Source organism: Homo sapiens, chromosome 4 (genome assembly GCF_000001405.40).
Source record: "Homo sapiens chromosome 4, GRCh38.p14 Primary Assembly".
NCBI classification, from domain to species: domain Eukaryota; kingdom Metazoa; phylum Chordata; class Mammalia; order Primates; family Hominidae; genus Homo; species Homo sapiens.
In genome coordinates this window covers 53,899,449-53,919,601 of record NC_000004.12, presented here as the reverse complement: position 1 = coordinate 53,919,601, position 20,153 = coordinate 53,899,449, and the positions used below count along the sequence as shown (strand labels likewise).

General features: G+C 43.3%; 1 long non-coding RNA gene across 2 annotated transcripts; it reads right to left on the bottom strand.

Annotated features, from left to right (window-relative positions):
* Positions 1-2,018: 2,018 nt before the first annotated feature.
* On the bottom strand, positions 2,019-19,927 carry LOC124900702 (uncharacterized). 2 transcript variants are annotated; one of them, XR_007058119.1, is made up of 3 exons: positions 19,611-19,927; positions 14,951-15,708; positions 11,618-11,654 (listed from the first exon to the last, which is right to left on the bottom strand). It is a non-coding gene; the product is annotated as an uncharacterized LOC124900702 (long non-coding RNA). The 2 variants fall into 2 exon arrangements; XR_007058120.1 differs by lacking the exons at positions 11,618-11,654; positions 14,951-15,708 and adding an exon at positions 2,019-3,383.
* Positions 19,928-20,153: the final 226 nt, after the last annotated feature.

The following is a 20,153-nucleotide window of genomic DNA, read 5'->3' as shown; positions in this document are numbered from 1 at the left end:
TCTCCCAGTCCCCAATCTCACCCCTTATCTATGGTCTTTGGCTGTTCTGTTTTTTTGTTTTTTTTGGGTTTTTTTTTTTGAGTTTTGTGCTTGTTGCCCAGACTAGAGTGCAATGGCATGATCTTGGCTCACTGCAACCTCTGCCTCCTGGATTCAAGTGATTCTTCTCCTCAGCCTCCCAAGTGGCTGGTATTACAGGACTGTGCCTTCATGCCTGGCTAAGTTTGTATCTCTAGTAGAGATGAGGTTTCACCATGTTGGCCAGGTTGGTCTCGAACTCCTGACCTCAGGTGATTCGTCCACCTCAGCCTCCCAAAGTGTTGGGATTATAGGCATGAGCCACGACGCCCAGCCGTCTTTGGCTGTTCTTTGATGTAAGGAGGCAAGAGCCTGGATTGGTGGTGCATGCCTGTAGTCCCAGCTACTTGGGAGGCTGAGATGGGAGGATTGCTTGAGCCCAGACATTTGAGGCTGCAGTGAGCTATGATGGCACCACTGCACTCCATCTTGGGTGAAAGAGCAAGACTTTGTCTCAAGAAAAAAGAAAAAAGAAAGAAAGAAATGAAGGAAGAAAAAAGGAGTCAAGAGGAACAAAGATCAAGCCTGTGTAACTCAGTCATACGATGGAACCAAAGTACCAGGAGCAAAAAGGTAGAAACACTGAGTTTTGCTGATGCTAAGTTGGAACCGCAAAGAGACCTCAAAGCTTTTCCCGACTTTGACCCTTCCTCTTCTCTCCTGAGCACAGCCTCCAGCCACCCTTGGTTCTCCTGAGGTCATGCCCAGCTCTGAGAGGATCAGTGGTTGGTGGCTCAGAAGGGCCAAGGCTTTGGAGCCAACCTGACCTTGGCTTCAAGTCTAGCACCTGTGGAACCTTGGTCAGGTCCCTTTCCAGCTCTGGGCTCAGTTTTCTCATGGGAATAATGGTAGCAATATCTACCTTACAGGGTTTATGTAAGGATTACTTGACAAATGTATGCGTGTGCATTTAAAAAAATTGAAATGAAATTCACATAGTATAAAATTAACCACTTTAAAGTGAACAATTAAGTGGCACTAAGTACATTTGCAATGTTGTGCAACCCACCATTTCTATCTGTTTTCCTCACTCCAAAATAAAAACCCATCTGCACTCATTATGCAGCCACTCTCCACTCTTCTTCCCACCATCCTGGCAACCAGCAATCTGCATTCTGTCTCTACAGATTTACTTATTCTGGACATTTCCTATAAGTAGAATCACATGATATTTGTCCTTCTGTGTCTGGCTTCTTTCACTTGGCATACCGTTTTGAGGCTCTACTTATTGTTGTATGTATCATTACTTCGTTCTTCTTTACCGGCTGAATTAATATTCCATTGTGTGTAAGCACCACAATTTGTTTACCCATTCATCTTTTGATGGGCGTTTGGGTTGTTTCTACCTTTGGGCTATTGTGAATAGTGCTGCTATGAATATTCAAGTGTATGTGCCTTTCTTAAAGGCTGTAGTGCTTAATAAATATCAAAGAGGGAAGCCAAGATCCAGGGTCCTGTGCTGATGACTAGAAGAGTCCTTGCCTCCGCAGGATCCCACGAAAAGATTACTCATAGCTTTATTTTTCATGAATGACAGGGCTTTTCAAATCTGTGCTAATCTAAGATCTAATCCTCACACACTGACACATCAGGAGTGGGTGTGAGTATGAGAAAAACATGCTGGGTCTTGCTCACCTATACTTGTTTGGCTGGATGACCTACCCAGGTCCATGCAAGGTTAGTTTTTTGAAGGCACTAGAAAAATTATAATGTCACTAAGCCTCACTGAGCCTCAGAATTTCATTAAGCCTCAGTTTTCTCAACTGTGAAATGGAGTGATAGGAGGAGTGACCAACTGTCTTAGTTTACCTGGGAAGTGAGTCATCAAGACAGCAAAGAACTTCAGACATGAATTTCCTCTTTCTTACTTCCTATTAAAAACAAATCAATATTTGAACAATGATTTTCATATGAAAGAAAGATAACATAATGCATTTCAATGAATTTAACATATATTTATTGAGCACCTACTACATGCTAGGCACCATTCTCGGCTGTGGGAATATAGCAGTGAACAAAGCAAACAAAAATCCCTGCCCTACTACATGCTGGGCACCATTCTCGGCTGTGGGGATACAGCAGTGAACAAAGCAAACAAAAATCCCTGCCGTCCTGAAGTTTATATTCAAGTGAGAGGAAGCAGAGATTCTAGGTGTGAGTGAATTAGAATGTGGTAAGTACTTTGAAGAAAAATAAACCCAGTGAGAGGGACAGGGGATACTAGAGAGAGGAAGGGTAGAGTTTTGCTATTTTTGCAGAGAGTGGAGTGGCCAGGCTTGGTTTTCTTGAGAAGGTGACATTTAGACAAAGATTGAAGGAGGTGATGGGAGAGCCAGGTGGGTATCTGGGAGATGAGAAGGTCCTGCTGAGAAAGTAAGGGACACATCCTAGAGCAGGGGCCAACAGAGAGCAAGAAGGAGTCCTATGGGCAGTGGGCAGAGAGGCAGTGGGGACCATACTGTGTAGGGTCATGTAGCCGGAGAGAAGGACTTGGGCTGTTAGCTGGAGAGAGCTGGGAGAACCAGGTAGGTGTGACAAAGGCCTCTAAGAAGCTCTCCAGCTCCTTGGAAGGAAAGTCAATATCCTTCCAATGGCTGCCCACAACTTCCATTACATAGAAATCCAAACTCTTGACCCAAACTCCACTCCAAAAACACCCCTGCATTCCCATCTTCTTCATTCCAGGAAATGGGTTCACTGACCACCCAGCTGTTCAGGCCAGATGCTTGGCTTAGATTTTGATTCTTCTCATTCCCACATACTCTTGTTCATTTAATCAACAAGTTTTACAAACCCTGCCTCCCCAGTGGATTCCAAATCTGACTGCTTCTCTGTTCTTTGCTCAGGCAGGTTAAGTGACTCAGCCAGCAACACACAATGAATGAGGCACAGTCCTGGAACTTGAAACCAGGCCTTCTGATTCCATGCTGGAGAGAGAACCATCTGTCCCATGGATGTCCATGGATGTTGCTCAGTTCAGCAACAAGGAGACATGGCTGTTGAAACATTCCAATGTCCACTGAGCACCAACTGTGTGCCAAGACTCCCTGGGGGACTTTGGTTAGATGTATTGTTTCTCTGGGCCTGGAGCTTCTGGAGAAGGCCAGCCTCATGCCCAAGTCTTGGTGAGACAGCAGATTCCATCCCTCCTGGGACCGGAGCGGCAATCAAACATGGCATGAAACTGGCCCTTCTGGGCTGCATGGGCAGGAGGCAGGAGCTGAAGTTTTCTTAACTGTTGGGCTTGTTCTTGTAAATTCAATCATTTATCTGACATTTCCTGAGCTCCTGCCATGGGCCAGGCCCTGGAGATAGAGCAGTGAAAAACAGTAAAATTTCCCTGCCTTCGTGCAACTTATATTCTAATGGGAGGAGAGAGTGTAAAATCAATATATATTATAAATAGTATAATATGCTAAATGGTGATGAGTGCTGTGGAGACTTTGAAGCAGGGGTGGGGAATATGGCCATATTTCCCAGGGGAAGAAGTATTGCAATTTGAAATATGGAGGTAGATGAAAACCTCACTCAAAGATGATTTGCAAACAGAGAAGGAAATGAGGTGATCAGGAGCAAGACAGAGACTGTCTAGGGGATGAGGCTTCCAGACAGAGGGGATGATAAGTGCAAAGGAACCCAGGCAGAAGCATGCATGGGCTGTTCAAAGAACTCAAGTGCAGTTGGATCAGAGAGGGTGAGGAGAAGAGTAACAGGAGATGAAGTGAGAGAGGAAGTGGCCAGGAAGCCTAGCATTGTGCAGATCTGTTCACTGCACCGTAATGCCTGAGCTCACCAAGCCTTGTGCCTTGATGCAGGATTGTGTCTGCCTGGAGGAAGAAGCATGTTTTTGGACTAACAACAAGCTCTCTCTCTCTCGCTCTCTCTTTGAGATGGTCTAGCTCTGTTGCCCAGGCTGGAGTGTCATGGCACAATCTCAGCTCACTGCAACCTCCACCTCCCGGGCTCAATCAATCCTCCCCGCTCAGCCTCCAGAGCAGCTGGACTACAGGCACACACCACCATGCCTGGCTAATTTTTTTTGTATTTTTTTTGTAGAGATGGGGTTTCACCATGTTTTCCAGGCTGGTCTTGAACTCTTGGGCTCAAGTTATTTGCCTGCCTCAGCCTCCCAAAGTGTTGGGATTACAGGCATCAGCCACTGCGCCTGGCCAAGCTCTTTTTAATACCAATGGCCTATTCTGCAAGAAAAAGATGTCCACTGGGAGACTTGAGGCAGAGGAATGGCATATCTGACTTACTTATTCTTTGGAAACTGTGTTAAGATTAGACAATAGAGGGCAAAGATGAAATCAGAGAAACAAAGTCGAAGCTTTTACATAAGACGGTGACTTGGCTACTTGATGACATTAGTAGCTTGAAGGCATTTCCATTCTAGAGGTTGACAGCTTGGTCCAGTACTCAATGGCAGCAAACCTGGCTTAGACTTTTCTGGAAGCCTGTTGTAGCAGATGGCAGCCCCTTTTAGAAGCACAATCTAGGTGAGCTTGCCCTATGCATCATGCCCTTCCCCAGCCCGTTATAATTTGCCCTATTATAACATTGTAAGTCACCACTTATTGAACACCCACTATGTGGCAGGCTCAGTGCCAAGCATTTTGCATACCCATTTTCTTAACATCTTGCCCAACTGCATGAGGAATATCATAAGGAAGCTGAGAAAGAGCTCAGGAAGTTGCATGATATTGTACCATTTGTAAATGGCAGGGCTGTGATGCAAAAATCACATTATTCTTACCAAGACCTGGCTCTTCACTGCCTTGCTATATTAGGTTGGTGTAAAAGTAATTGCAGCCATTAAAAGCAATGGCATACAAAATATACGTTGCCTGGGTCTTCTCAGCTCTGTTCTGGGCTGTTAGTCAAATTACAAAGAACTAGCCTCCCCTCTGTTTGATATGAATCTCTCCCAGGCCTTTGCTCTCTTGTCTTCTAGATAAGTTAGCCAGACAGGCAGCTGACTAAGAAGCTATCCTATTTTTAAAGAGAAGAACATTTCATAATTTCCTTTGGTAACTCAGTTACTTCTAGTAAACAATGACTTGACTAACTACACTGTCACCCGGGGGGTGGGACTGTATCGTTGCATCTAGTACCTAGGAGGATGCTGACTCAATTAGTATTTGCTAAACAGATAAATGGAGTAATGAGCTTATCAGAGAATCTGATTCAAGATGAGGAAGACCCACAGAATGGACTAGCTGAGGAATGAGAGAGCAAGCAGTCAACCTTAGATGTGATCCCAATACAAAACTTTTTTTTTTTTTTTTCACAATGTAACCTTTAATCTTTTGAGGGGAGAAAGAAGGAAGGGAGAGGAATGAGCAAGACACAGGTAGCTCTGATGAAGAAACTCTCTAAAAAAGAGGGAATAAAAGAGACTTTTATTTTGCTTTCTTTTAATCAAATTATGTGTGGTCCTGGTTGTCAAGAGAGTTCTTAGTTTAAGTTCTAGCACTATCATTTATTTTTGTTTTTTAACTTTTATTTTAGGTTCAGGGATACATGCGCAAGCTTGTTACATAGGTAAGCCTGTGTCATGGGAGTTTGGCGCACAGATTATTTCATCACCAAGGTACTAAGCCTAGTACCTAACAGTTATTTTTTCTGATCCTCTCCCTCCTCCCATCCTCCACCCTCAAGTAGGCCCCGGTATCTGTTGTTCCCCTCTTTGTGCCCATGTGTTCTCATCATTTAGCTCCCACTTATAAGTGAGAACATGTGGTATTTGGTTTTCTGTTCCCATGTTACTTTGCTAAGGATGATGGTCTCCAGCCTCATCCATGTTTCTGCAAAGGACATGATCTTGTTCTTTTTTTGTGGCTGCACAGTATTCCATGGTGTATATATACTACATTTTCTTTATCCAGTCTATCATTGATGGCCATTTAGGTTGATTCCAGGTCTTTGCTATTGTGAATAGTGCTGCAATGAACATATACATGCATGTGTCTTTAGGGTAGAATGATTTATATTTTTGGGGGTATATACTCAGTAATGGGATTGCTGGTTTGATTGGTAGTTCTGTTTTTAGTTCTTTAAGGAATCACAACACTGCTTTCCAGAATGGTTGAACTAATTTACACTCGTACCAACAGTGTATAAGTGTTCCCTTTTCTCTGCAACCTTGCCAGCATCTGTTATTTCTTGACTTTTAGTAATAGCCATTCTGACTGGTGTGAGATGGTATCTCATTGTGGTTTTGATTCACATTTCTCTAATGATTAATGATATTGAGATTTTTTTCATATAGCACTGTCATTTAAGGCATGTGACTTTGAGGCAGTTGCCTCACCTTTTTAAGCCTTAGTTTTCTCATTGGAAGAGTATGGGCTACAATGCAATTGAACGTACTTGCTGTGTGTCAGGCACTGTTCTAGGAGCTTTCACAGATATATTATTTAAGCTCTACAGTAACTCACATGAGATAAGTGCTCTTATTATCCCCATTTTGCAGAGGAGGCAACTGAGGCATGGAGAGAATGAGTAACTGCCCGGGTATACACAGCTAGTGAGTCGTAGAGCTCCAGTTCGAACCCACTCAGTCTGTGCTCTTAACTACCTCATTATTTTCCCATAGACTTATTGTAGAGATCAAAGAAAATACTGTTCACAAAAGTATTAGGTTGGTGCAAAAGTAATTGTGGTTTTTGTCATTTAAAAGTAATGCATACTTAAAGTATAAGATTTCATAACCAAGGACCCAGAATGATGCCATATAGCATGATTCTGTAAATGCTTAATAAGAAGTCATGATTATAAGGGTTGTCTGACTCTTTCCTGGAGGCTGAGAGAATAAAGAGCCAAGAAGGATGTCTTCATCTGGTCCTGAAGTGGAGGAGAGAAGGACCTGGCACTGTTTGGAGTTTGGAACCTCCTTCACGTAGTGCCTGGTTTGGGTCTGAAATGATTGTCCTCCAGCTAAAGGGCAGGACCAGCATTCCTGAATGCCCCAATGTGTTATGGATAAAGAGAAACATCTCCAAGAGAGCAAAGCTCTGAATAAGAATTACGGCTAGGGGGCATGGTGCACCCCAGGGAAGGAGTCAAGGGGGAGACATTCATTTTGGGGCCAGAAGGGATTCCAACTGGACCACCACAAGGAACTCTAAGCTTTTTATTAAGCAGCTACTTTGTGCCAAGTCCTGTGCAAAGCAATTTCATATACATTACCTTATGCAATACAGTAACTTTGGACAGAACATTCTATTATTTTCTTGTAGAGATGTGGAAATTGTGTCTCAGAGCAGTGAAGCAATGTATTCATGCTCATATACCTAATAAGGGGCACCTCTGGATTTAAACCTGATTCCAGGTCTTTTCAATACACCATACTGCCGCCTAACGTCCTATCTTCCTTCCAGTAACATTGCTTTCATTTTCCCCAAGAACAAAGTTGTAAGTCTGTCCAAAATGTTGGAATATACCTTACTTTTTATTTTTATTTTTATTTTGTGAGACGGAGTCTCGCTTTGTCTACCAGGCTGGGGTGAAGTGGCATGATCTCAGCTCACTGCAACCTCCACCTCCCAGGTTCAAGTGATTCTCCTGCCTCAGCCTCCCAAATAGCTGGACTACAGGCATGTGCCACCATGCCCAGCTAATTTTTTGTATTTTTAGTAGAGACTGCGTTTCACCGTGCTGGCCAGGCTGGTCTCAAACTCCTGACCTCGTGATCCACCTGCCTTGGCCTCCCAAAGTGCTGGGATTACAGGCGTGAGCCATTGTGCCCTGCCATACCTTACTTTTTAAATGAAGGTTTGCCTAGAAAGCTGTTGTAATTACTTGTATATAAACCAGATCATGTTTTAAAAAATGTCTTCAGAGCACTAGCATTTTCTATAGGAATTATCCATTTGTAAAGCAAATAAGAATTCTCTTTCCCTCCCTCTGGGACTAATTCAGGTTTCATGGCAATCCTTGCTTTTTTTTTGAGACAAGGTCTCACTCTGTCACCCAGGCTGGAGTGCAGCAGTGCAATCTTGGCTCACTGCAACCTCTGCCTCCCAGGTTCAAGCAATTCTCCTGTTTCAGCCTCCCAAGTGGCTGGGACTACAGGTGTGTGCTACCACATCCAGCTAATTTTTGTCTTTTTAGTGGAGATGGGGTTTAATAGTGTGGCCCAGGCTGGTCTCAAACTCCTGACCTCAAGTGATCCACCTGCCTCAGCCTCCCAAAGTGCTGGGATCACAGCCATGAGCTACCACACCTGGCCCAATGCTTGTTTTTATATTGGGCATTTAAAAGCCATTGTATATCAATATCAAGACAAGTGGAAACCATACAAGATCCAAGAAAACCGCATTCCTAAACCAACAGCACAGCACCTGGAAGAGAGATGGCAAATGGTGTCAAACTGTGATTTGGGATGTCAAGATGGTCTTCCAGAATGATGGTCTTCAAGCATGATGGTCTTCAAGCATCAGCCAGGTATACCTTGATTTGGAATGTGACCTTCTTCTAACCTTTCTCTGAGCACCAGTCCTGGTTTTCAGCGATTCCTTGGACATCTCCCCATCTATATTTTGTAGAAGTATCCAAGTCAACACACTCAAGGCCAAACTCCTGAGTTTCTTACCCCACCCAGCATTTCAGCCTTCCCTTAGTGCTTTTATGAATTACTTTTTCAGTCTTCCCTCGCTATAACTTCGCTTTTCAACATTTACTTTGTTGGCAAAACACTTTGAAACACTGTGCGTCTTACACTTGTACCTGTCTTTCCTTTTGGGTTGTGTCTACCACAAAACTTCGTTACATCTGTTTAAGCACTAACAGTGCCTTCCTTGGCCTCCTTGTCTCTGCTTTCCCTTTGAATCTGCTCCACATCTTCATGGCAGACCAATTTTCCTAAAATTAGCTCCCATCATGTTCCTGCTTGCATCAAAAACCTTTGGTGCTTTCCTGTGGTTGCCTTGGGAATCAAGTCCACCAGCCTGACGTTGAAGCTCTCTGCAGGCTTTCACTGGCATTTCAAGCCATTTATTTGATCTCTTCCCTTTGCGAGTGTAAGTGCGTGGCTGCTCACTGGGCCCACACTCTCCTACCTCTTTGCCTTTGTTCAGCTTCACCATCCCTGTGCCTCTGGAAACCCACCTTTTTTTTTTTTTTTTTTTTTTTGAGACGGAGTTTCATTCTTGTTGCCCAGGCTGGAGTGCAATGGCGCAATCTTGGCTCACTGCAACCTCTGCCTCCTGGGTTCAAGGGATTCTCTTGCCTCAGCCTCCTGAGTAGCTGGGATTACAGGCATGTGCCACCATACCCAGCTAATTTTGTATTTTTAGTAGAGACGGGGTTTCTCCATGTTGGTCAGGCTGGTCTCGAACTCCCGACCTCAGGTGATCTGCCTACCTTGGCCTCCCAAAGTGCTGGGATTACAGCTATGAGCCACCACACCCCGCTGGAAGCCCACCTATTCTATGAACCCGACTCCACAGCTCTCTCTTTTGTGAAGTTTCCCTCAGTTCTCCACTCCTGATGAATACAATCTCTTCTTTGGCAATTTGTATTTTTCTTCTAAGCCAACCCCATTCTGCCTTGTATTATGGTTGTTGATGTATTACGGTTACTGACAAGGTTGGTTCTGCCTTGTCTGATTCTTTTTTTTTTTTCTGAGACGGAGTTTCACTGTTGTTGCCCAGGCTGGAGTGCAATGGCGTGATCTCAGCTCACCACAACCTCCGCCTCCAAGGTTCAAGCGATTCTCCCGCCTCAGCCTCCCCAGTAGCTGGGATTACAGGCATGTACCACCACGCCCGGCTAATTTTGTATTTTTAGTAGAGATGGGGTTTCTCCATGTTGGTCAGGTTGGTCTCGAACTCCTGACCTCAAGCGATCCGCCCGGCCATCTGATTCTTATTTGATGCTTAGTTTATTAAAGGCTAGAACTGTGTCCTTTTCACTTCTGCATGTCTAACAACAGAGGCTTATACATCGCAGGAGCTCAAAAATATGTATAGGACAACAGGAATTACAAAAGAATTAAAGAGTCTTTCCCTATTAAAAGATGACACTAGATATCTATAACTAAGAATAGACAGATACCTGGGCAAAATGTGCACTTTTTGAGTGCTGAGGCTGCAATCCTTTATTGGGTACAATGACATGTCCACATAAGCTTTTCCCAAAGAATGTGAATGAAGTTCGACCCAATATGATGACATCCAGGGCAGGGGACAAGATTCCCTTTCTGGGACCTAAATTTTTTTGTGTACAGGGCGTACATGGATTCTATTCTGAAATGACTAAAAATTCTCTAAATAGCTCCAAGAGGGAAGTCTGTCTTCCCCTCCCCACATACTGATGATATCTGAGCACAAGGAGAAGCCACTGACAAATGTAGAAACCTGGTCCTCATCTGCAAAAATGAGTGCTTTGAACTAAATAAACCTTATAACCTGTTATAGTTTGAGAAATATTACATATTCCATTATTTTCCTGGAGAGGTTTAGCCGATCATACTGAAAAACAGAAACCAAACCCCAAAACTCACCAATGGTTAAGCTTTCGTCTAGGGAAAAAAGTGACTTTTACGAGCACACTGCTTATTTTGTGGTGACTGCAGAGCCCAATATCTAATCTGCTTCCCCACTTCCTGTGTTATGAAATGCTGGACATAGTTTTCTCTTGGCTCAGTGGCAATTTGATAAAGAGCGAAGAGCTGAGATGAAAGACATAGTGAACACTGCCCTCTTTTGTCCACCCTGGGTTTCTGCCACTTCTCTTTGGTAAGTGTATCAGGCAGACACGAGTTAAAGTCGTGCTAGTTAAGTAAACCTTGGTGTGTAATTCCATTTCAGTTGTTCTCTGCGTGACTCCCCGGTTTCAGCAGTGTGGAACATCTTTATTTTGGTGTCATAAACATTTCAGCTTACCCAAGCCTGCCACTTTGCGCCAGAAACCATTTAATGATGGTTGTTCGGTGCCGACCCCAAAAAAGTGGATGTAAAGCAAAAAAGAGGCTCTATTGTCTGAGGTTTTCCTGCTCCGTTTGGATTACCAGGGAGTTAAAGATAAAACCCCAGGCAGAAAGCTACATGTCAGCAGTAAGGGAACAAGATTACCTTCCACGTTACTCATTTAGAAGAGACGGCTTTTGTCTTAGTGTTTTGAGAAATTCTTCTTAAATAATTTGGTTATGACTTTCTTGTGTGTTGTGTGAGATATGTAGGAAGGAGCTTTATAAAGGAAATATAGTGCCACGTTGCTTAAATTTATTGAGGCAACCCTAGCAAGAGAAGTGCATTTCTGTTTGTAGAACAACTTATACATTTTTCATAGGCATAAACAGAAATTAAAAATTAATATGGGCTGGGTGCAGTGGCTCATGCCTGTAATCCCAGCACTTTGGGAGGACAAGGCGGTGGATCATCTATGGTCAGGAGTTTGAGACCAGCCTGGCCAACATGGTGAAACCCCATCTTTACTAAAACTACAAAAATTAGCCAGTCGTAGTGGCAGGTACCTGTAATCCAGCTACTCAGGAGGCTGAGGCAGGATAATCAGTTGCACCTGGGAGGCAGAGGTTGCGGTGAGCCGAGATCATGCCACTGCATGCCAGCCTGGGAAACAGAGCAAGAAAAATAAAATTAATATGACCTCCTTTCTTGGCTGACCTGAATCATACTTTGCAGTTATTTTTTTTCTTGTGAAAGTGAGTTTGTATTTGGAAGGTCTGCAGAGAACACCAGGGATGAAGAGGTAGAGGAGGGAATAACGTTAGTTAGGAGTACAGTTTAGAGTGCTGTTGGCTGTTTGCCCAAATGCAAATTATTTAATTTGATCTGAAAGCTTTAAATGTAATATTTGTGAGGATTCAGTCCATCAGTAAATCATCAGATATGTGTGTACATTTGCTGTGTACCCAACTAGGCATCAGGGCGTACATGACAATAGGGGAGATTGTGTTCTGGTTGGAAAAGGAAGAATTAATTTAAGAAAATAGTTTGGAGTCTGCTTCCTATAATTTTGTTCTTAAATTTTAACCTAGTGGCAGCAACTTTATGTCCTTTCTCTCCCAGGACAGTTCTAGGGACAAATATTTAGCTCCACTGTGCCTACCAGGGAATTGTATTTTATAGAACGTGTGCTTTGATTGGCAGCTTGAAAAACATGGTTAAAGTCGTGATCAGCACGAATGGAACAGTCAGGAAATGGGTCCCAGGGAACTTTTCCATTCCCACTACTCTTTGAAAAGCCCTGCAAAGATGCTATTGCAAATTTCTGTCTCATCAAACCGGGGATATTACCTTTATAAAAAGAATGCAAGGACTCATAATTCATGATATCCTCTCACCAACGATAGATCTCTAAATTATCAGGAGTAAAGTATATTTAAGAGTAAGAAAATATCTATCAAAGAAGAAAGTCAAGAAATGAATCTGTTTAGTTGTTTTCTTCCTGCTAAGAGCCTCTGATGGAGCATTTACACTGGCTTATGCTCATGTGTGTAGGATCGGCCAAATGCAAGTGGAAAATTATTAGCCAGGCAGTAGTCAGAATGCTCATCCATTCAAGAGCTTCCATTCAGATATATGGAGCTGAAATCTGAAACTAAGGGCTCTGTCCTAACTTTAGCAACTTAATTGCATAGAGCTCCACAGTGGCCTGATTAAGAATGGCTGGTGTCTTGAAATATTTTGAAAATACTGATACCAAAAGATTTTATTCTGAAAAATTATTATCCAATGAGGAAAACGAAAAGGAACCAGTTACAGAAAAGCCTACAGTCTCCGGGGATTGATGATAGAGCACATCATTGAAATGACTGCTATTTCAGAGAAAAGCAGTGCGGAGTTTACATGCTTTCCTTATAACATGAAATTTTAGTCCTTTGTCCAACACTGGGAAGTTAGAGGGAAGGAAACGTCTCTTTACTAACGAGAAAATGCACATTTGCTTCAAAACTATGGGGATGTTCTTTTTTTTTTTTAAACGGTATCCTTGTAAGTTTCTTTATTTGAAATGTGCATGAAATACCACATATGAATTTCTTGAATTTATGTAGTACTTGACTTGTCAAAGATCTTTCTCATGGGTAGGATTATTGGCAGTAAAGATAAGCTGTGGGAGAAAGGCCGGGGAAAAGTCAGTTGATGGTGTTAATTTATGAAGCAGAGTGGAAACAGAAACTAAAGGCTTATTTTCTCTCATTTGAGCAACAGGCTGGTGTTTGGCAAACTGTCCTGGGGGATATTTAGGTGAAGAAGGGCAGGCGTCGTGATCGAAGACTTATCTCCCTTCTTTTCATCTGCACACTTCTTCTCTGACCACAGTTTGAGCACTTTTCAATCACCAGCAGTCTCAGCAGGGCAAGGCTGCCACACGCTTGCTAATGGTATCCCAAACGCTGCATTTCTGGGGCTCATCCAGGAAGCACGGTGATAGACAAGCGAGTTACCGTATTTCCTCTGAAACTGCCTCCCTAAACATCAAATCAATCAGCATGGTTGGACTGCAGGCCACCACTATGTGCTGGCACTAACTATACCATGCTTCTAGGCCCTGCTTGATACTTCCAAAATAACGAAGGACACACAGGCACGCCTATAAAGCGTAATGACTGTTTAGTTGGCCTTTCCGTGGGAATATAGAATCTGCCAAACATAACTACTGATTTAGAGCTCGTCTAGGAATTCCTCCTAGCCCTGAGGTCTCAGTGTTTAGAGATATTTTCCATAAACTGGCTTAAGCCACTGCAGCATTGAATAAATAAATGCAAAGCACAAAGCTGCCAGTGTCTCTCTAGAAGAGTAGATTCTGTGCAGTGGGGTAACACAATGAGCTGTGCATGGAGCCTCTCAGAACGGTGAGTAGCGAACTTCCATCTGACAAAACAGATTTTCTAGTTTGACTTTGAACTTAAGTCAACAAAGATAGAAAAAGTGTGGAAAGTGTAGTCATTTAAAAAGAAGGTCCTGGTGACTATTTTGCTAACTGCAGAAGGCTCTTTACCAGAGTGTTAGCAGTTTATTTTTCAGAGCATTTCCTCAAGACAATGTGTATGAAAGCATTTTGTAATCAGTGGAGTACTTAAACGGCAATGACTATGCAGATACATTTCCAAACTCCTCAAAGTGAAAATGTGTTAGAACATCAGATAAGAGTGAACAAAAGCACAAAAGAGGCATTGCACATCCCTTATAGGCACACGAGACAGTGTGTTCCATTTTGAGAGATCTTATTAAGGAGATTGAAGAGGCTGGGATAATTTTGAATACGATTTCTACCCAGGCAGAGTCAGATGCAGAATTAAAGAAGATAAAGTAGGAGACTTTAGGAGAAATGTATACAGTTCTCATTACCATATACATCCTCTCTTCCTTTAGTCAGAACAACAGCTCTTTGAAATAAGGAAAAAAATAGTCTTGCTCAGCCAAGAGGAACCTGGAAGCTCCCCTTGGATGTTACTGCCCAGGCAAACCTGATGTTCTGTAGTGTGTTCACTAGGATTCCAGAAGCTGGCCAAGTAAGGATGAAGCATCACTGTTTTAGGGGGAGCCAAACTGTGGTGTCCATGGCTGTTCCCCTATGCATCAGTCATTAAGCTTGCCACCAGCTGCTGACATCTAAAGCTGAAAGGAGGGATGTCACGGTACAATAAAATGTATAAGCCAATAAACCTTTATTTGGTGATTGGTCATGCTCTTCTGTATCCTGCCTGGCCATAGCCTATTTTTATCACCAGACTCAAGGAGGGCCTTCACTCACAGAGCTTGTCCACAATAAAGGCTCATTCGTTCCAGGCATAAGCATTGCCCCTAGAGCAGCCTCTACCTTCTCTTAAATAAGAAGACCAAGGGAAACCCAACAACAATAGCAACAATAATAACAAAACAATTGAGGACTGGACACTCACGAGCAGCACCATTGGCTGGGAGACCTGGTCCAGGATAGGTTGGGTGCTGGTTCCCAGGAAGGTGTACTTTTCACTGGAGTCTCAGTTGCTGGAGAAACAATGCTGAAGGTTCTCTTTGGTGACCATGTTATGTTTTTTTGTCTATGGAAACTCAAGCCCCGTGTGGAGGGAGTGCAGAACTTTGAAAGAGCAGTTCAGTAGACACACTAGCCAGGTCCCAGCTTTTCTATAGAAGGATCCTCATTCCTTGCTCAGAGAGATGCTGCCTTGATCTGAGTCTTTATTACTGAGAGAGGAGAAACTGTGCTGTGATATCAGCTATTGTGGTCAAGTTCATAGAGAACTTCTATCTAATCCTCCAAACCTGCTCTTAAGGTGGGTGTTTCCCTCATGACCCCACAAATCTAACTTTGTGTCATAGAGCTTTGATTTTTGTTCCAGCCCTGACACTTTACAGACATGAGCAATCTTAAGCAAAATGAGTTTCGAGAAGGTTACATAATTTGCTTCTTCCAGGTAAAAGAGACAGCAGGTATAAAGGTCCTGAGGTAGGAATGGAATGGGCATGAATGAATGAGTGAAAGTGCCTTGAAATAATCTCTTCACCAGGTTGTTACGTTTTCTTTATTTATGTCTTCTTAGCAAGGATTTCTCTAATATCCATCATATCTCTATTCCATTCTCCTGATTTCATTTCTTCAGAACACTTATCTCTTTCAGAAATTATCGTATTTGCTTCCTTGTTATTGTCTTGTTAGCTGAAAAGTCAATTCCAAGACAGTAAAGGCCTTGATGGTTTTATTCAACTACAGTATTCTCAGCACCTCAATGCCTGATACAAACAGATACACATCCCAAACACCTTATCTGAAGCCCATCGGGGCCAAGTGTTTTGACAATTCAGAATTTAGGAATCTCAAATGGTGAGTATCACTAAGTTATATAACACCCCCACAGAGTTTGGGGCTGCATCCCATAATCAAACACATTTGCTTTTCTGCTGTGAAACATGCAAAATGTATCAATACAGTAGTGCCCTCTTATCCATGGGGGATCCAGTCCAAGACCACCAGTGGATGCCTGCAAGCTTGGGCAAGACCAAACCCTATGTAAACTCTTTCTTTCTCCCTCTTTCTTTCCTTTCTTTCTTTCTTTTCTTTTTTCTTTCTTTCTTTCTTTCTTTCTTTCTTTCTTTCTCTTTCCTTTCTTTCTTTTCTTTTTTCTTTCTTTCTCTCTTTCTCTCTCTCTCCCCTCCCCTCCCTTCCCCCCCCTCCTTCCCTCCCTCCTTCCTTTCTTCCTTCCTTCCCTCCTTCTGTTTAAGATAGAGTCTCGCTCTGTTACCCAGGTTGGAGTACAGTGGCACTATCGCAACTCATTGTAGCCTCAACCTCCCGGACTCAAGCGATCCTCCTACTTCAGCCTTCTGAGTAGCTGAGACTACAGGTGTGTACTGCCACATCAGGCTAATTTTGTTAATTTTTTGTAGAGACAGGATCTTCATATGTTGCCTAGGCTGGTCTTGAATTTCTGGACTTAAGCAGTCTTCCTGCCTTGGCCTCCCAAAGTGCTGGATTACAGGTGTGACCCACTACACCTGGCCTCATTGTGTTTTTTCTTATATAACCACACTGTATGGGGAAGGCAGCACATACAACATGGATATACTAAACAAAAGGATGATTCATTTCCCAGGTGGAACAGACTGGGACAGCGTGAGATTTCATCACACTTCTCTCAGAATGGCAAGCAATTAAAAACATAAATTTTTTAGTTCTGGATTTTTCCATTTAATATTTTTGGACTGTTGTTGACCATTGGTAACAGAAGCCTCGGAAAAAGAAACTATGGATGAGGGGAGAAGACTGTAGTCACAATTAAGGCAGATCATAAAGACTGGGGACTGCCATGCATCCGTTCCGGTGAGTTCAATGAGCTTGCTGCCAGCTTACAGAAAATCTTTTGGTTTTCAGAGCATTTTGGGAGTTTGGAATTACAAAGGATTGAAGATCTGCAATCAATTAGTTTGTATTGACTGCATAAATTAACAAAACATGCCTTCTATGTGCCCAGGCAGTGTGGTGGGACTGGCTCTACAGCAATGAAATAAATCTGGTATGATCCTTTTCAGCTCAGATCTGCAGAGAAAACAGGCGGTCACACAATGAGTTATCACGCGCTGCTTCAAATGAGAAGCCCTTGCTAAGGAGAGAGAGCCTGTGTCTTCACAATCATCAAAGAAAGAAGTTTATTAACCACCTCCCGCCCGCCCGCATGCCACACACACACACTGATCCCATCTCCACTCCAAGTAAAGTCAGTCGTGGGCTTTGGAGTCTGATCTTAAAGTATATTTCTCAGTGTGGCCGAGGAACCAGAGGTGGGAGGGAGACAGGGAGTTTTCACTCAAGACTCTGGTGTTTCTGTTTCTTCCCTCTCCAGTAGGTCATAGTGTCAATCCAGCCAGGGCCCAGTGACCACTAATGCAAGCTGGAGATGCTGATGTGCCTAGAACTGGGGCAGGTGTTGCAGAAGTACCCCCTGTCAAGGAAGGCATTTGGGGCTCCCTGGATGTCAGCAGCATCAGTCACAGAGCAGGAAGCTGATTCTCTCATTGGCCAAAGACTCTTGGTCTTTCTCTGACGATCTTCAGAGAAGCCCTCCTTTACTATCCCCTCCCTCTCTCCGTCCCTCCCTCCCTCCCTCCCTTCCTCTTTATCTCCCTTCTCCTTCCTTCTTTCCTCCCTTCCTTTCCCCTCCCTCCCTCAACCCCTCCCTCCCTTCCCTTCCCTTTGTCCCTCCCTCCCTTCCTTCCTCCCTCCCTCCCTTCTTTCTTTTCCTTTCCCTTCCCTTCTTCCTTCCTGCCTTCCTCCTTCCTTCCCTTTTACCTTCCCTTCCCCTTCCTTCCTTCTTCCTTCCTTCCCTTTGTCCTTCCCTCTCTCTCTGCCATTGTCTTCCCTACCCTCCCTTCTTCTCTCCTCCCCTCCCATTTCCTTCCCTTCCCTTTCTCCCCTCCCATTCCCTTCCCTTCCCTTTCTCCCCTCCCCTTCCCTTCCCCCTCCCTCCCTCCCTCCCTCCCTCCCTCCCTTCTTCCTTCCTTCCCTCTTACTCCCTCCTTCCTTTTCTCCCTTCCTTCCTTCCTTCTCCTCCTTCCTTTCTTCGAACCAACAGTTATTTATTGAACACCTGCACTGTGCTTTGCCCTGTTCTGGATAACAGTTATCTAGCTACAATCAGAGTATGCAGACTTTAGCATGGGGGCATCATTGGTTTCACTGCCTCCGCCCTTAAAAAAAAAAAAAAAAAACTTTTGCTGAGTGACTTTGTCTTATGGAAGTTAGAAAGACCATAAGATGCAGCAATTAGGTGACTTTGAGTCTGACAGACCTGCATCCAAATACTATCTCTGTCTCTTACTGGAAAGTTTTTGTTGTTGCTGTTTTTTTTTTAACTTAAGGAAGTTAAAAGCCTCCTTTTTTTTCATCTGTAAAATGTGGATTACAATCCAACGTCATAGGATTGTTGTGGTGATTAAATGAGATAGGTCATGAAAAATAAAGTGATTAGCATAGCACAGGCACATGTTGCTATAGACCCATCCATTTGTTTTGTTTTTGTTTCTGATTCTTATTTTTGAGACACAGTCTTACTCTGTCACCTTGGCTGGAATGCAGTGGCATGTTCTTGGCTCACTGCAACTTCTGCCTCCCAGGTTCAAGCCATTCTCCTGCCTCAGCCTCTTGAGTAGCTGGGATTACAGGCAAGCGCCACCACACCCAGCTAATTTTTGTATTTTTAGTAGAGACGTGGTTTCACCATGTTGGCCAGGCTGGTCTTGAACTCCTGACCTCACATGATCCTCCTGCCTCGGCCTCCCAAAGTGCTGGAATTACAGGTGTGAGCCACCACACCAGGCCGACCCATCCATTTGTTGAATGTCCATGATGTGCCAAGCTCTGTGTTGGATGCCAGGGATATGAAAATGAGTAAGGCAAAAATCCTGGCCTTTCAGGACCCATGGGAACCTACACTAACTAGGTTTTCTAGGTATTTCAAGTGGAGTTTGAAATCAGCTTGGCTGATGTTTTTTTTTTCAAAGAAAAACTGTAATGATTATCGCACACTACATCCATGCTCATTAAAGAAACACTGGAAGAAAGAAGTAGAAAAGCACATGATCATGCAGTCATGTTACATTCATTCAGCAAATATGTGTTGGGCACCTACTCTGTGCCACCACTGGTCTAGGACCAGGACACAACAGCGAGGGTGCCAGACAAGGGCTCTGCTCTCATCCTGCTTATGTTTTGTGAGAAGAGAGACTATTAACAAATAAATAAGATCATTCCCGATTGTGATAAGTGCCCTAAAGGAAGAGGGTGATATGTTTAAGAAGAGGGCATGGGGTTGAGTGTCAGAGAAAGAGACTCTGAGGAGGTGGCATTAGAGCTGAGATGAACTGCAATCACCATGTGAAGGTCTGGGAGAAGTGTTGTTAACCAACGTGAGTTTTTCCAGCGGTTTCTCTAGCCAAATACCCAGCTGTTTCTCATCTAGTCCCAGAGGAAAATGACGTAAAGAAAGCTGTGTTTTGCCAAAGATTTATAATTTAACCTTTCTGGTTCTAGAGCCAATTCTACCACTAGCAAGGAAATACTCTTACCTCTTTAGTTTCCTCTGCTTGTCACAATTGAGTTTCCTTTAAGAGCAGATCAGATGTGTTTTGGTTCTTCTTCTGAAATGGAGACGATGATTTATATTAATAGGAACATAACCCAAAAGCCCCAGGAAATGATCCTTCTCTAGACGTGGCATTCGCCAGGCCCTTTTCCAAATTTTATGTCCACGGCTGGGCTCTGGAGAGACTGGGTCACAGCCAGCAGAATGTGGCCATTCTCTCTAAAGATAAAGTTGAAGGATGTCCTCAAATAGATTGAGATTTATGAAAGAGATGGTACTGACTTCCTCCACTGAGACCGTAACAAGAGGATCTGCGTTCCAAGGAGGATTTGCCCAGATGGTCATTCTTCATCCCAGCTGTCTGGCACAGTCCTGTTAAGTTTTTCTTTTCAATAAAAGTCATTTATTTATCACATGTATGAATAAGTGTGTTTTAACTTTTATGCCGTTTTTGCAAGTTTTCAAAAATCCTTAGTCATATAATGTATCTTCGTGTTAGATTCTAAATTCATGGTCACTACAGTCG